The sequence below is a fragment of the Homo sapiens genome, chromosome 7 (genome assembly GCF_000001405.40).
Source record: "Homo sapiens chromosome 7, GRCh38.p14 Primary Assembly".
NCBI classification, from domain to species: domain Eukaryota; kingdom Metazoa; phylum Chordata; class Mammalia; order Primates; family Hominidae; genus Homo; species Homo sapiens.
In genome coordinates, this window is record NC_000007.14 from 66,942,080 (window position 1) to 66,958,551 (window position 16,472).

At 44.7% G+C, this 16,472-nt stretch overlaps 1 protein-coding gene across 4 annotated transcripts in view, besides 3 other annotated features; it reads left to right on the forward strand.

Moving 5' to 3' along the window:
* The window catches only part of TMEM248 (transmembrane protein 248), a 37,327-nt gene extending 20,855 nt beyond the window's left edge, over positions 1 to 16,472 (forward strand). For all 4 annotated transcript variants that reach the window (NM_017994.5, XM_024446821.2, XM_024446820.2 and 1 more), the window contains exons 3-7: positions 2,897 to 3,182; positions 6,465 to 6,615; positions 8,873 to 9,056; positions 11,147 to 11,290; positions 13,423 to 16,472. In NM_017994.5, coding sequence (NP_060464.1) covers positions 2,897 to 3,182; positions 6,465 to 6,615; positions 8,873 to 9,056; positions 11,147 to 11,290; positions 13,423 to 13,443 — 786 coding nt within the window. In that variant the 3' untranslated portion in view covers positions 13,444 to 16,472. The remainder of the gene's footprint in view (positions 1 to 2,896; positions 3,183 to 6,464; positions 6,616 to 8,872; positions 9,057 to 11,146; positions 11,291 to 13,422) is intronic.
* Positions 8,323 to 9,522: an enhancer, noted in NCBI's record as "CDK7 strongly-dependent group 2 enhancer chr7:66415389-66416588 (GRCh37/hg19 assembly coordinates)". NCBI's record gives its function as "activates an origin of replication core promoter dependent on BRD2, BRD4, P300/CBP, MED14 and CDK7 cofactors, with strong dependence on CDK7, by STARR-seq in HCT116 cells {active_cell/tissue: HCT116}" and the evidence as "EXISTENCE:reporter gene assay evidence [ECO:0000049][PMID:35650434]".
* Positions 10,543 to 10,837: a silencer, noted in NCBI's record as "tiled region #14266; K562 Repressive non-DNase unmatched - State 14:Gen5'". NCBI's record gives its function as "represses a minimal TATA promoter and a strong SV40 promoter by Sharpr-MPRA in K562 cells {active_cell/tissue: K562}" and the evidence as "EXISTENCE:reporter gene assay evidence [ECO:0000049][PMID:27701403]".
* Positions 10,543 to 10,837: an enhancer, noted in NCBI's record as "tiled region #14266; HepG2 Activating non-DNase unmatched - State 15:Elon". NCBI's record gives its function as "activates a minimal TATA promoter and a strong SV40 promoter by Sharpr-MPRA in HepG2 cells {active_cell/tissue: HepG2}" and the evidence as "EXISTENCE:reporter gene assay evidence [ECO:0000049][PMID:27701403]".

The window sequence follows — 16,472 nt, forward strand, 5'->3', positions numbered from 1 at the left end:
ACCCTGTGGCTTGCCATATAGCTTTCTTGGGTTTTGGCCTTTCTCTCCTAGTGAGAAAAATCAGTATTTATTCAGAATTTTCTGTTTTCCATCTCCCCAGGACTCACTTTGTTAGGAAATACCTAGATGGGTATTGTTCGATTTAAATATGCTACCAGTTTCAGTTAGACTATTTTAGCAGTGAAACATGCACTTTGGAGAGTACATTTGTAAAATGATCTGTGTCAAAAAGCTGGAGACCTCACCTCTGTAATATTCCATCTCAAATGGGTTCATTGCTGTTTTAGAAAACTGAACATTTGGTATTTTAAAACCACATATCATCATGGAGTTTTATCAGCTATACTAATGGTTTTTTTCATGAGATAAGAAGGAATCCTAAAGAAATTCAAAAACAGGACCTAATTTCCAAATATATTTGTTTTTTGTTTTTTGAGACGGAGTCTCGCTCCGTCACCTAGTCTGGAGTGCAGTGGCGTACTCTCAGCTCACTGCAACTTCCACCTCCCGGGCTCAAGCGATTCTCCTGCCTCAGCCTCCTGAGTAGCTGGGATTACAGGTGCCTGCCACCACGTCTGGCTAATTTTTGTCTTTTTAGTAGAGACGGGGTTTCGCCACGTTGGCCAGGCTGGTCTCGAACTCCTGACCTCAGGTGATCCACCCATCTCGGCCTCCCCAAGTGCTGGGATTACCGGTGTGAGCCACCGCATCCAGCCTAATTCCTGTCTTTTAGTAGATTCCTTGGGTGCCTTCTCTTATTCTATTTCCTTCTTCTTGGGTTTGTTGGTGGGTGGAGGTGGGGGTGGGAGTGGGGCTGGGAGTGCGTGGTTGCCGCATTGAGTGTGCCTTGCAATGGAGAGGAGAGTTGTGTTCCATGTAATTGAGATCGTAGCTTTCTCTCATGCTCTAGGGCATTCTAGATCTTAAGTGATCTTGGCAAAAGGAACCGCCTACACATGTGAGCTCTTTCTAGCACAGTTCAAGTAACGAGTTTTAGCTATTTCTACCATGTAACCCTTTCAAAGAGTTTATTACTAAGAGACATACTGGCTGGCTTAATTCTCTCTCTTTTCTGACCCTGCCTCAATCTTTAAAGGTTGTGAAAACAGGCTGCCCCCACATCAGGGCTGAAAATGAATATTCTACTCAAAACTAAAGCTGCACAGCCTCCTGCCATTTCTTTCCCGCAGAGCTTGAGTCCATGTTGAGCACTTGGCCAAGGCCAGTGGTTGCACTGAAGCCTGGATAATTAGCCCTTAATAATCCAAATTAGGCCTGGCATTGGCTTTAGCCAGCTGTTCAACGTGGACTCCAGCTCTGTAGGAACGCATTGTTGAGATGCTGCGGAACTTTGGTTATGATTAGTTTCGTGATTTTTGTTTTCAAATGAGGATCCTAGGTTGTAGGAAAGGCAGTGGTGTATGGGAAACATTTGGGGCTGTGAATCAGAACTTAATGCTGATTTTACCTTGAACTAGAATTGGAGAGTCCCTAATTTGCCCTGGGCCTCAGTTTCTTCATGTCTAGGATTATGAAGGACTGAGACTAGAATGTTCATTTTCAACCCTAATGTACTAGAATGGTCAGTTGAGTTTGTAGGTGTTAGGGAAAATGTAATTTGATAGATCCAGTTGCAGTCTTACTAAATGTCACATACAGTTAAACTGATGCTGTAAGGGTAGACTTACTGGGCTGGGTAGGGGTTGCTCAGATGACTTTTTTTTTTTTTTGAGGTGGAGTGTCACTCTGACACCCAGGCTGAGGCTGGACTTCAGTGGCGCGATCTTGGCTCACTTCAGCCTCTGCCCCCCTTCAAACGATTTTCGTGCCTCAGCCTTCCAAGTAGCTGGGATTACAGGCATGCGCCACCATGTCCAGCTAATTTTTGTATTTTTAGTAGAGACAAGGTTTCACCATGTTATCCATGCTGGTCTCGAACTCCTGGCCTCAAGTGATCCACCCTGCTTGGCCTCCCAAAGTGCTGGGATTACAGGCGTGAACTACCGTACCTGGCCTCAGATGGCTTTTTTTTTTTTTTTTTTTGAGACAGAGTCTCACTGTGTCGCCCAGGGTGGAGTGCAGTGGCACGATCTCCTCTCACTGCAACCTCCACCTCCCAGGTTCAAGCGATTCTCCTGCCTCAGCCTCCCAAGTAGGTGGGATTACAGGCACACACCACCACACCCGGCTAATTATTGTATTTTTAGTAGAGACGTGGTTTCACCATGTTGCTCAGGCTGGTCTCGAACTCCTGACCTCAAATGATCCACCCACCTTGGCCTCCCAAAGTGCTGGGATTACAGGTGCGAGCCACCGTACCTGGCCCCTTCCTTTTTGAAATCGTTGCTGCTCTAAGGTGTCATCAAAAGTCCATAAGAAGGGGGGCAGTGTCCCAAATGAGTATTAGTATTCACTGCTGTTTTGTGTTCTAGAGAAAGAGAGCAAGGTGTATGGAATTGACCTTTTGGGACATTATTTTAAGGTGACTTTATTTAAAGAAAAGAATTGTAGTTGCAAAATGAGTTTGGATTAATGCTTTTCTTCAAGCGTTCTTTTCAAGTTTGGTTCTGAGGCTAGATCATTTTCTCTAAGTGTAATATGCTGGATTTTTTAAAAAGATTTTCTTGAATAAATTGATTTGATTTCACAGTTTATTGAGTATCTTGTGCCAGTGAAGAGTTCATATTTTAGGTTGTGAATATAAAAGTGATTAGGAAAGCCACATCATGCTGCCTGTGAAGAGGGTGGTGGCCGAGTTGTCATGATCTTAAATGATCAGCTCTGAATTGTAGTTTGCTGATGTGCTGCGGTGCCACACTGGGGTCTTACCTGTATTCCCGCAGTGGGAGACAGGCGCTGCTTAACACCCATTTCTCTTTCTTTCACTTTCCCAAAGGATTGGAATACTTTTCTGCTACGGTTCAATGATTTGGACTTGTGTGTATCAGAGAATGAAACCCTCAAGCATCTCACAAACGACACCACAACTCCGGAAAGTACAATGACCAGCGGGCAGGCCCGAGCTTCCACCCAGTCCCCCCAGGCCCTGGAGGACTCGGGCCCGGTGAATATCTCAGTCTCAATCACCCTAACCCTGGACCCACTGAAACCCTTCGGAGGGTATTCCCGCAACGTCACCCATCTGTACTCAACCATCTTAGGGCATCAGATTGGACTTTCAGGTATGCAGTAGCCACTCTCCACTCAGGCTCCTTAGGCAACCACTGTTACAAAAAGAGGATGCACCGTGTATGTTTTTACTGACTATATTGTACTAGATTGTAGTCTTGCGCGTGTCTTTTTTTTGTTGAGTTTGAACTACATGAACCATTTCTGTTCCATCGTTACATGGTAAAGTACCTGGCTAGAAGTAGTTTCTCAAAAGCCTGTAGGAATGAGAAACTGTGAGAAAACTGTTAAGGCCTGTCTAATATTTACAAACATGTAATTTTAATTCAGGCTTGTCCTGTTGGAGTTTTCATTACTTACTACACATCTTCTATTGCTATTAGTTTACATATTTTTTAATGGCCATTGTTAGTCTGGCACTGTGCTAAGCTGCTGGGAAGAACTAGAAAATGACTAAGATGGCTGGGTGCAGTAGCTCATGCATGTAATCCCAGCACTTTGGGAGGCCGAGGTGGGTGGATTGCCTGAGCTCGGGAGTTTGAGACCAGCGTGGGCAACATGGTGAAACCCCATCACTACTAAAATACAAAAAATTGGCCGGGCGCGGTGGCTCACGCCTGTAATCCGAGCACTTTGGGAGGCCAAGGTGGGCAGATCACAAGGTCAAGAGTTTGAGACCAGCCTGGCCAATATGGCAAAACCCCGTCTCTACTAAAAATACAAAAATTAGCCGGGCGTGGTGGCAGGCACCTGTAGTCCCAGCTACTCGGGTGGCTGAGGCAGGAGAATAGCTTGAACCCAGGAGGCAGAGGTTGCAGTGAGCTGAGATTCATGCCACTGTGCTCCAGCCTGGGCGACAGAGGGAGACTCTCTCTCCAAAAAAAAAAAAAAAGAAGTCAGCTGGGCATGCAGGCATGGTGGTGCGCACTTGTAGTCCCAGCTACTCAGGAGGCTGAGGCAGGAGAATTGTTTGAACCCAAGACGTGGAGGTTGCGGTGAGCCGAGATTGCACCACTGCACTCCAGCCTGGGCGACAGAGCGAGACTCCATCTCAAAAAAAGAAAAGAAAAGACAATGCCTAAGATGGGCCCGTGCGCAGTGGCTCACGCCTGTAATCCCAGCACTTTGGGAGGCCGAGGTGGGTGGATCACTTGAGGTCAGGAGTTCAAGACCAGTCTGGCCAACATGGTGAAACCCCATCTCTACTAAAAATGCAAAAAAATTAGCCAGGCGTGGTGGCAGGCGCCCGTGATCCCAGCCACTCTGGAGGCTGAGGTGGGAGAATCACTTGAACCCTGGAGGCGGAGGCTGCAGTGAGCCAAGATCATGCCACTGCACTCCAGTCTAGGCAACAGAGTGAGACTTCACCTCAAAAAAAAAAAAGGCCTAACATTTGGTCTCTTCCTTTTGGAATTTTGGGGTTATGGAAGAGACAAAGATAAACGTGAGTTAATGTTTATCAAGCACTTACAATAGTTCCTGCCACAAAGGAAATGCTACGTAAGTGCTTGATAAGGGATATGAAAAAATACATACTTATAAAATGTGGAGCACTGCCCTTTGACCAGTACTAAACCCATGACAGACTGTAAGTGTTGCAGGAGAAGGGCTAGAAGGCAGTGGAAGCTGGAATAATCAGGAAAGGCTTCATATGGGACACCTGGGCCTTGGAAGAATAACCTTTTGTTCTTTGGTTACCAAAAGGCTTTTTAAAAATTGCTTAGGCTAGATGCAGTGGCTCATGCCTGTAATCCCAGCACATTGAGAGGCTGAGGCAGGAAGATTGCTTGAGCTCAGGTGTTGAAGCCCAGCCTGGGCACATAGCAAACACCTGTCTTTATGAAAAAATTAAAAAAATTAACCAGGTGTTGTGGCGTGCACCTGTAGTCCCAGCTACTTGTGAGGCTGAGGTGGGAGGATTGCTTGAACCTGGGAGGTCGAGGCTACAGTGAGCTAAGATTGTACCACTGTACTCCAGCCTGGGCAATAGAGTGAGACCCTGTCTCAAAAAAAAAAAAAAAAAAAAACAAGAAACAAATAAAAAGTCCTTCAAGGAATTTAAGTGCCCACCAGCCTCCTATTGGCTGTTAGAGGTGAGAATATTCCCATAATAATCAAGGTATGGGTGACTTCTGGGTTTTCCATGTAGCAAGTGGACCTGTTGCTTATGGCATGGCATAAGGACACCTTCGGGATTTTTTGTTGTTATTTTGAGATGGAGTCTCACTCTGTCGCCCAGGTTGGAGTGCAGTGGCACAATCTTGGCTCACTGCAACCTCTGTCTCCCGGGTTCAAGCGACTGTTCTGCCTCAGACTCCCGCGTAGCTGGGATTATAGGTTCGTGACACCATGCCCAGCTAATTTTGTATTTTTAGTGGAGACAGGATTTTACCATGTTGGCCAGGCTGGTCTTGAACTTCTGACTTCAAATGATCCGCCCGCCTCAGCCTCCCAAAGTGCTGGGATTACAGGCATGAGCCACCACGCTTGGCTATTTTTTAATTTTAATTTTATTTTAATATTTTAATTTTTTATTTTAATTTAATTTTTATTTAAAATTTTATTTTAATTTTGAGACTGGGTCTTGATCTGTCGCCAGGCTAGAGTGCAGTGGTGTGATCATAGCTCACTGCAGCCTCAAACTCCTGGGCTCAAGTGATCCTCCCTAGTACCTGGGACCACAGGTGTGCACCAGTACACCTGGCTGATTTTTAAAACTTTTTTGTAGAGACAGAATCTTGCTGTCATGTTCAGGCTGGTCGTGAATTCCCGGCCTCAAGCAATCCTCCTGCCTCAGCCTTCTAAAGTCAAAGTGCTGGGACTACAGATGTGAACCACTGTGCCTGGCAATACGTTGGTTTTAGTTTAAGCTTCATCACTTGCCTTTCTTAACTCTGAAACCCTCTGACCTCTGTTTGTTCATATGTAAAAGGGGAACAGCTGCACTTCTTCAGTCATGTTCATGGGAGAGTAGTAAATTTTAAGTGAAATAATACATATAAAAGATGTTTGAAAATGGCTAGACAGCTGTGCAGAAATGCTGGGGATAATTCACCCAGCCCGAGCTTTTCATCTCTGATCTGCCCGAGGTCTGGTTTGGCATCTCCAGGCCATGTACTGGAAAGTGGCCACTTCCTTCGCTGCTTCGTGGCTCTGAGTTGAGTAGGACTCATGGTCAGGGTCAGGACTGCTCTTCTTCCTCAGATCCCACAAAGGCAGGTGCCTGGGCTGATAGATGATTCCTGTGTGGGTTTGATTTCAGGATTTATTTGTATCCCAGAGAATGACAAGTACGTGGTTCTTGACTTTATAAAAAAATGATTTCTCTTTCATAGGCAGGGAAGCCCACGAGGAGATAAACATCACCTTCACCCTGCCTACAGCGTGGAGCTCAGATGACTGCGCCCTCCACGGTCACTGTGAGCAGGTGGTATTCACAGCCTGCATGACCCTCACGGCCAGCCCTGGGGTGTTCCCCGTCACTGTGTAAGTGTACCCGGCACCTGATGAACGTGCGTAACAAGCTCCACTTGCCGTGAGTACGGCTGGGCTGCTTCAGCTGTAAATTCTCAGGATGGCTCACTTCACATTTCTTTATAGAATTATCTCTACTCGGACCTATCTAAAGGATTATTTAATTTGTCTAAAGGATTATTTAATTTGGAATTCTAAAGATAGAACTTCTGCATATAAAATCAGAAAGTTAGTGCCCCCTCGAGGCAGTAAAAGCACCTGGCTGTTGTTGGACATTCATAGGCTGTCTTTCCCGCAGGAGTAGAAGCAGCAAGTTACAGAAAAGAGGCTCACTGTGGCCGGGTGCCGTGGCTCAGGCCTGCGATCCCAGCACTGTGGAAGGCTGAGGTGGGAGGATCACTTGAGCCCCGGAGTTCAAGACCAGCCTGGACAACATATAGGGAGACCCTGTCTCTATTTAAAAAAAAAAAAAAAGAAAGAAAAAGAAAAAAGAAAAGAGGCTCTCTAAAGATAAAGGTTTTCAGCCAGGTGCGGTGTCTCATGCCTATAATCCCAGCACTTTGGGAGGCCAAGGTGGGCAGATCACCTGAGGTCAGGAGTTCAAGACCAGCCTGGCCAACATAGTGAAACCCCATCTCTACTAAAAATATAAAAATTAGCCAGGCATGATGGCACATGTCTGTAATCCCAGCTACTCAGAGGCTAAAGCAGGGAGGCAGAGGTTGCAGTGAGCTGAGATCGCGCCACTGCACTTCAGCCTGGGCAACAGCAAGACTCTGTCTCAAAAAAATAAATAAATCAAATAAAACAAAGATAAAGGTTTTGTTCATCTCCATTATCCAGAAAGATATTTTAAAATCGTTGATTTTAGTTTATCTTGATTTTAGTTTTAAATCAAGTATAAATCAAAACTTATTTTCTGTTAATTAACTAATTTTAAAATCTAACATTTTAAATCATTTCCCATTAAACAGTTACTTTAATTTTACCTGCGAATTTGAAAATTAGTTTTAAAATCAAATATAAATTGAACTTTATTTTCCATTAAACAATTAAGGTTTTTGAAGCTTTTCCTTCAGTGTTTTTGAGCAGCATTCAGTGTTACTGCTTTGCATTTTAGGTTTTTTTTGTTGTTGGTTTTTTTTGGTCTCTCCTGTCTCTATAAAGGAGATAATTATCTATAAATAAATAGGTGAAATACATAAGATATAGCCTATTTAAAATAATTCTATGGTGAATCCTTTTTAAATAAGAATTATCTCAGGATTTGTCTATTTTAGACATTTGGAGGTTTGTAGGACAAGATCAGATTAAGTTAAACATTACTTTGTGTTGCAGTGACTGATATAGAATTTTGTAGGTAAAGCTTCCAGTTGTAACTAAGTGATATGCTTTGGGCTGGGCGCAATGGCTCACACCTGTAATCCCAGCTACTTGAGAGGCTGAGGCAGGAGAATCAGTTCAACATGGGAGGTGGAGGTTTCAGTGAGCCGAGGTCACACCGGCCTGGGCAACAGAGCAAGACTCCGTCTCAAAAAAAAAAAAAAAGATGATATAGTTTGGCTGTCTCCCCACCCAAATCTCGTTTTGAATTGTAGTTCCCATAATCCTCATGTGTCATGGGAGGGACCCAGTGGGAGGTAATTGAATCCTGGAGATTGTTACCCCCATGCTGCTGTTCTCATAGTAAGAGAGTTCCCATGAGATATGATGGTTTTATAAGGGGTTTTCCACCTTTTATTTGGCACTTCTCTTTGCTGCCGCCATGTGAAGAAGGATGTGTTTGCTTCCACTTCCGCCATGCTTGTAAGTTTCCTGAGGCTTCCCTGACCATGCTGAACTGTGAGTCAATTAAGCCTGTTTCCTTTATAAATAACCCAGTCCCGGGTATGTCTTTATCAGCAGCATGAGAAAGGACTAATATACTAAGAGTTTAGCTCATTTGAGAAGATAGGCTTAAAAGGAGCTTATGTGCTTTGCATCACATGTGAGAGGACTGTAGGCTGAATTCTGAAGGCAAAAATCCAACACCCAAACTCCTAAATGTCAGGCACCTATTTATTTTTCTGTTATATTTTTATTTTTTAAAAAAGACCCTCAAACTAAAATATAATGGTATTTATCTCAAAGAAGCATGAACGTGTAAGTTACATTTTTCCTTTCCATGTGTGTTGCCGTGTTCAGTGTTTTACCAGCTGCTGTGGGGGTGACACAAGTGAATGACTCAGGCCACTGAGCACGTGTCTTTCCTCCTCCTCTTCTCCTGCAGACAGCCACCGCACTGTGTTCCTGACACGTACAGCAACGCCACGCTCTGGTACAAGATCTTCACAACTGCCAGAGATGCCAACACAAAATACGCCCAAGATTACAATCCTTTCTGGTGTTATAAGGGGGCCATTGGAAAAGTCTATCATGCTTTAAATCCCAAGCTTACAGTGATTGTTCCAGATGTAAGTGAGAAAAATTGTGTGTGTGTGTGTGCGTGCATGCATATGCACATGTGTGCGCATGTGCTGCAACCGTTGGTGTAGGCCCTGCTGACTTCCCTGGGTAAGCGTATCCTCTGCCACTTTAGATTTCCAGGTGAGTTAGGACACTAGGCGGAGTGGTGGATGCTTGGAAAAACATGTTACCCATTGGTTAAGAAAAATCTGGTTTTTCTCTTCATTTTCTCTGTTGTTCAGCAGCAGTTATTTCTTGAGCAACTGCCTAATCCCTGGGGGGGGTTACAAGGGATCCTTCTATTAATATTATCTTAGAGGGATGTTCACAGACGTTCATAGAAGACTATCTAGTTAGTGTCCGTGTGAACAAGAAATAGTGCTGCTTAGAGTTCTGAAAGATAGAAGGGAGTAGTAGGAGGAGATGAATCTTCGGCTAGAGAGTGAGGCCTGAATAGGATTTAACTTAACCAAGAGGCAAGGGGAACAAAATACTTACCTATCTCATCTAGTAGCTGTGTGCTGCTAGCTCAGCTTCCTACTTAGACTTGAGCCCACTTACTTTTTTAGAGACAGGATCTTGCTCTGTCGCCCAGATTGGGGTCTAGTGGCGCAATCATAGCTCACTGCAGCTTCAGCCTCCTGGGCTCAAGCTTCCCAAGTGGCTGGGACTACAGGTGCATGTCACCATGCCGGGATAATTTTTAAACTTTTTGTAGAGACGGGGGTCTTGCTGTGTTGCCCAGGCTGGTCTTGAACCCCTGGTCTCAAGCGATCCTCCTGCCTTGGCCTCCAAAGTTTCTGGGATGACAGGTATGAGCCGCTGCACCTGGCCCAAGCCCACTTTTTAACACTGCTTTGATATTTTATAAATATGTTCCTTTCTGGCAGTGTGTGTTAGCTGGATCTCTCTTCTTTTGGCCTGGCCCTTTGCCCTTTTCTTTTTTTCTTTATTTTAATTTTTTTTTATTTTTATTTTTTGAGATTGAGTCTTTCTCTGTCACCCAGGCTGGAGTGCAGTGGCACAATCTCGGTTCGTTGCAACCTCTGCCTCCTGGATTGAAGTGATTCTAAGTAGCTGGGATTACAGGCACCTGCCAACACGCCCAGCTAATTTTTGTATTTTTGGTAGAGATAAGGTTTCGACATGTTGGCCAGGTTGGTGTTGAACTGCTGACTTCAGGTGATCCTCCCACCTCAGCCTCCCAAAGTGCTGGGATTATAGGCATGAGCCACTATGCCCGACCTTTGCCCTTTTCTGGGGCTCATTTGTAGGCCAGGGTCCTGCAGGAGCCAGCTATGGAGGTCAGGCTGGATGGTGGGCTGAGGCCCTTAGTGCCTGGCCAAGGGCAGTCCCTGCCTGTGTTTGGGGCGTGGGTGTTGGTAAAGCAGTGTGTTGAGAAGACTGAGCTGCCCCGCTATGTTATAAATGACCTGGGGGAGCCCAGAGCTGTCCTGAGGCCTGGAGATACTAGAGGGTAAAGGAATGGAACCATGTCTGGGGTCCCTTTAGTAACTTGCAGGGTCTGGGAATTGACTGCATGTGGGAGGTCAAAGGGTAGTGAATCACGGATGATCTCAGCATTTTCATCCAAGGACTTAGGGAAATAGAGAAAAGCAGGAGGAAGGGCGTGACCCCTGGGGAGGGGTGAGGTGCCGAGGCCTTCCTGGTGGGGGCATAGTCAGGAGTTAGGAATGCAGCCTCGGCTGTCAGCCATGCAACCTGAGGGCAGTCTTGTGACGAGGATGTGTCCAGAAAGGAGTGGGGCTTAAAGATGGAGTGTCTGCAGCATTTGCAGGGGAGGAAGCCTGCTGGAGGGGCAGGGTTCAGGCAGTGTGGGGGTGCAGAAGGCAGGGCAGAGGACAGCGCTAGGAAGGCGTGGTGCTCTCCAACAGAGGCTCGGGAGCACCATGTCTTCACTTAATGAGACCCAGCTTTGGTCATTTAGGAGGCAAAAGGAGAAACCTCCTCTTGCAGCTTAAGAAGAAAAGTTGTGGCAAGTCTGGAGGCTGTCAATCCTGTCTCTCAAAACCCAGCATTAAAACCTTTCAGTCACTCAGAGCAGATGTTTCTGATTTTTTTTCTCTTCTTTATTTAGGATGACCGTTCATTAATAAATTTGCATCTCATGCACACCAGTTACTTCCTCTTTGTGATGGTGATAACAATGTTTTGCTATGCTGTTATCAAGGGCAGACCTAGCAAATTGCGTCAGAGCAATCCTGAATTTTGTCCCGAGAAGGTGAGCGGTGGATGGGGTCCGGGCCAGCATTTTACTAGAGGTCTCTGTATACAGAAAGTCCCAGTTATCCTTATTCTATTTATTGTGGGTGGCACCTTTCGTCTAAAGAAATGACAGTCATCCCTTGGTATCCGAGGAGGATTGGTTCCAGGACCCTGGTGGATATCGAAATTCATGAATGTCCAAATCCCTTCTGTAAAATGGTACAGTATTTGCATATGACCTCTGCACATCCTCTGTAACTTTTTTTTTTGAGATGGAGTCTCGCTCTGTCTCCCAGGCTGGAGTGCAGTGGCACTATCTTGGCTCACTGCAGCCTCCGCCTCCCAGGTTCAAGCAGTTCTCCCACCTCAGCCTCCCGAGGAGCTGGGATTACAGTCGCAAGCCACCGCGTCCCACTAAGTTTTTGCATTTTTAGTAGAGACCGGGTCTCACCATGTTGGCCAGGCTGGTCTCAAACTCCTGACCTCAAGTGATCCACCCGCCTTGGCCTCCCAAAGTGCTGGAATTACAGGTGTGAGCCACTGTGCCCAGCTCATCCTCTGTAACGTTAATCTCTAGATTACTTTCTTTTTTTTTTTTTTTTTTTTTTTTGAGAGAGTTTTGCTCTGTCACCAAGGCTGGAGTGCTGTGGCACGATCTTGGCTCACTGCAACCTCTGCCTCCTGGGCTCAAGTGATTCTCTTGCCTCAGCCTCGAGAGTAGCTGGGATTACAGGCATGTGCCACCACACTCAGCTAATTTTTGTATTTTTAGTAGATACAGGGTTTCACCATGTTGTCCAGGCTAGTCTCGAACTGCTGTTATCAAGTGATCCACCTGCCTTGGCCTCCCAAAGTGCTGGGATCACAGGCGTGAGCCACTGGGCCCAGCTTCTAGGTTACTTATAATACCTAATACAATGTAAATACTATGTAAATAGTTGTTACAGTGTATTTTTAAAACTTGTGTTATTTTTATTGTTGTATTCTTATGTATTGGTTTTTTTTCTTTTGAGTATTTTTGCTTTTTTAATTTTTTTTTTTTTTTTTTTTGAGACAGGGTCTCACTTTGTCACCCAGGCTGGAGTAGAGTGGTGCGATCGTAGCTCATGACTCAATCATAGTTCACTGCAGCCTTGACCTCCCAGGCTCAAGCGATCGTCAACCTCCTGAGTAGCTGGGACCACAGGCATGCATCACCACACCTGGTTAATTTTTGTATTTTTTGAAAAGACAGGGTTTCGCCACATTGCCTAGGCTGGTCTTGAATTCCTGGGCTCAAGCAATCCACCCACATTGGCCTCTCAAAGATTACAGGTGATTACAGGTGTGAGCTACCATGCCCAGCCCTCTTTTGTGTATTTTTGGTTGAATCTGTGGATATGAAACCCACAATTACAGAAGGCCAGCGGTAGTTTCTGTCTTCATTAGAAGTGTCTTTACTCTCAACCTAAATTATGTTGTTGGATTTTTAATCATATACCCAAGCCTCTGTTGCTATTAAAGGGAGTGACTTGGCAGTTGTTCTCAAGTCTCCACTGGAGCACTACTGACTCTGGGTAGCTGCCTCCTCTGTAGTTCCATCAGCATAAGAAGTCTTCTAACAGAATGCTTATCAAGGTTTAAAGACAGTTACCTCAGCTAGGTGGACCTGTAATCCCAGGACTTTTAGGAGGCTGAGGCAGAAGGATCACTTGAGCCCACGAGTTCAAGACCAGCCTGGGCAACATAGTGAGAACCCTTCTCTACTAACAGTTAAAAAATTAGCCAGATGTAATGGTGCATGCCTGTATTCCCAGCTACTGGGGAGGTTGAGGAAGGAGAATTGCTTGAGCCCAGAAGTTGGAAGCTGCAGTAACCTACGATTGCACCACTGCACTCCAGCCTGGACAACAGAGCGAGACCGTGTCTCAAAAAAACAAAAACCAGTTAATTCTGTCTCCGCACAGTGGTTCCAGATGGGCCGCGTCTTGCAGGAGACTTTGAGATTTCTAGTAATTTCTTCCTAGGTGAGATTTTCTTTTTAGGGATTTAGTAACTTCACTGTCTGGTTGATATGTGCAATTAGTGTGGCATCCTGGTCTTTGGGTAGGGGCTGAGTTACCTAGGCTTCCCTTTTTTGACTGGTTTCCCTGGCTTGCTGTCTTCCAGGTGGCTTTGGCTGAAGCCTAATTCCACAGCTCCTTGTTTTTTGAGAGAGACTGAGAGAACCATAATCCTTGCCTGCTGAACCCAGCCTGGGCCTGGATGCTCTGTGAATACATTATCTTGCGATGTTGGGTTATTCCAGCCAAAGACATTTCAAGTGCCTGTAACTGATTTGTACATATTTATAAAAATCTATTCAGAAATTGGTCCAATAATGCACGTGCTTTGCCCTGGGTACAGCCAGAGCCCTTCAACCCCACCTTGGACTTGAGGACCTACCTGATGGGACGTTTCCACGTGTCTCTAGAGAAGGATTCCTGGATCTAGCTGGTCACGACGATGTTTTCACCAAGGTCACAGGAGCATTGCGTCGCTGATGGGGTTGAAGTTTGGTTTGGTTCTTGTTTCAGCCCAATATGTAGAGAACATTTGAAACAGTCTGCACCTTTGATACGGTATTGCATTTCCAAAGCCACCAATCCATTTTGTGGATTTTATGTGTTTGTGGCTTAATAATCATAGTAACAACAATAATACCTTTTTCTCCATTTTGCTTGCAGGAAACATACCTTAAGTTTTTTTTGTTTTGTTTTTGTTTTTTTGTTTTTTGTTTTCCTTTATGAAGAAAAAATAAAATAGTCACATTTTAATACTACTCTAGTTAGGACAGACTTGTGCTTTTATCCTGACTAAAAAGTTAAATATTTAAGTCACATACATGGTAAAGATCTAAGTTTCATTTTCCACATGGATGACCAGGAACCTGGTCTTGTTGGAGCTGGCATAGGAGGTTCTACTGTCTTGTCGTCCACTCTTGTCCCTCCCTTCTGTTATCAAAGTTAAAGCGCCTCTTCACTCAAAAGGGCTTCAAAATGTAAATGGCTCTAGAGTTAGAGTGACTGTTTGCTCTTCTGCTTTCTGGAATGCAGATGACAGTATGGAAAGAAAGAATAATGATTCTATCTAATAGGAAAGGATTTCTTCTTTCTTTTTTAAAGAGTGGGTGGATTTTCTCCCTTTTGTTTTGCTTTTATTTTCATGCTACTAACATATCTTCAGAAGGAAATGGCAACTAGTAGATCAGTAAAATTACGAAAACGATGCCTGCAAAATTTGAAGGAATGCAATTCTGATTTGCCATTTATCAGGGAAAACTGAAAGCATTTTTCTTATAACTTTTTTTCTTTTTCTTTTTTTTTGGAGGGGGGAGGCAGGGTCTTGCTCTGTCCCTCAGGCTGGAGCTTAGCTCAGTGCAGCCTCCAACTCCTGGGCTCAAGCAATCCTCCCACTTTAGCCTCCTGAGTAGCTGGGACTACAGGCGTGTGCCAGCGCGCCTGGCTAATTTTAAAATTTTTTTGTAGAGACAGAGTCTCCCTCTGTTGCCCAGGCTGGTCTGGAACTCCTAGCTTCAAATGATCCTCTCACCTCGGCCTCCCAAAATCCTGGGATTCCAGGCGTCAGCCACTGCTCTCGGCCCTCTTACACCATTTTGTTTGATTGTCTAGTCCCTGTTTCTTTTTCTTTCTAATCCTTATTCATTTAAGCAAAACCATACATTATCTTTTCCAGTCCTTTCTTGTATTCTTACTGTTTTTTTAAAATAACTTTTTGCCTTAATAGCTCATTGTCACTAATAACTTCTGTGTTCTCCCAGGCAGTGTTATAACAGAAGGGCAATGAAAACATTGGACATGACCATGAGTGCTTCCTTTCCTTAACTCTAGGTTTGTAGTCTGTTTTAAATTAGGATTAGTTCCTGCATTCTGAAATACATTGGCCTAGAACATTTTATCCCAGGCATTTTTGAATAGAAAACAGTTGCGTGCTTTTATTGAAGATTGTTAAAATAATCACCATAGTAACTTGATATGTTAGTATTTTTCTTTTTCCTTTTAGTATGTTTCAAGTGCAGTAATCGTACTTGTCTATCCAGTTTCTATGTATGATACGAGTTGCTTACACGATGCATGGCTAACTTGTTAATTTAGTTTTCTCCTTAGAGACTTTGAGACCCTTAAGAGACAAGATTGAGAAAGAGCCATGTGGCTTGGCTCTAGAAACGTCATTATCATTAGGACCATCAGATTTTAGATTAAGCTGCTATTGAATTAATAAAATCCCAATGAAGCAGAGTTATAGGGATAGATTTATAGCTGGCAGAGTGGTATCAAAGGAGAAAAACAGTGAAAAAGCCAATTTCACTGGTTCGTTCAATCCAGCTTGTTGCTAATATTAGTTACCCTTGTTTTAATGACAGAGAGTGGCTGGAATCTGTAGCTAGGGGAGGGGCAACACTGTTAGATGTGAGGAAAGGAAGTGCCAAAAATGCCTGGACAGATGGCTTGTCCCAAGGCCAGGACACACACTTTAAAATCCAACATTCACCTAAGCAAGTAATTCTTAAAGATCTTACAGAAACGCAGAGTCAATCAGGTTTATAAAGGAAGGCTGAGGGGAGAGAGGAGGCCTGGGGGCCTGGACGAAGAGGCCTAGGACCTGAAGAGACTCCAGCGAGTCTCGGGAAGCCCAGGGGACCTGTCACCATCTGGGCACTTCCCAGGCTCAATGCTCAGCCAGAGTTTGCTGGTGGACCTCAGGATTCGAAGTGTGCAACAGACGGAGTGCGCTTGCTGTTCAGGGCGGCCCCGTGCAGGAGCACCAGCTCACCCTCAGGCATCTCGGACTGGAGGGCCAGCAGAAGGTCAGCAACTTACTCTTAAAACGATTGTTTCGGATCATATTGATCTCTTTCCTTTTTCCTTTTGTCCTTTCACTGTATGACTTGAATCAGTTTTGATTCTATTTGTAAGTGTTTCTTGTCGTGAGGCACCTGCCATGTCTGTTGCGTTTTCCTCGGCAGCGTGTAGGGCTTCAGCTTCCTGGGTTTTCACCCTTCCTGCAGGCACTGTGGGGTCCTGAGGGCCAGTGGGTCCATTTCACCTCTTGCTGCATGATGGTCAGTAGCTGATCTGTTATGGCATTCACTTCCAGATTAATTTTCCGTGTTTGAAGTATGTGCATATGTGCTTTACAGAATAAAACATCTGAATTTA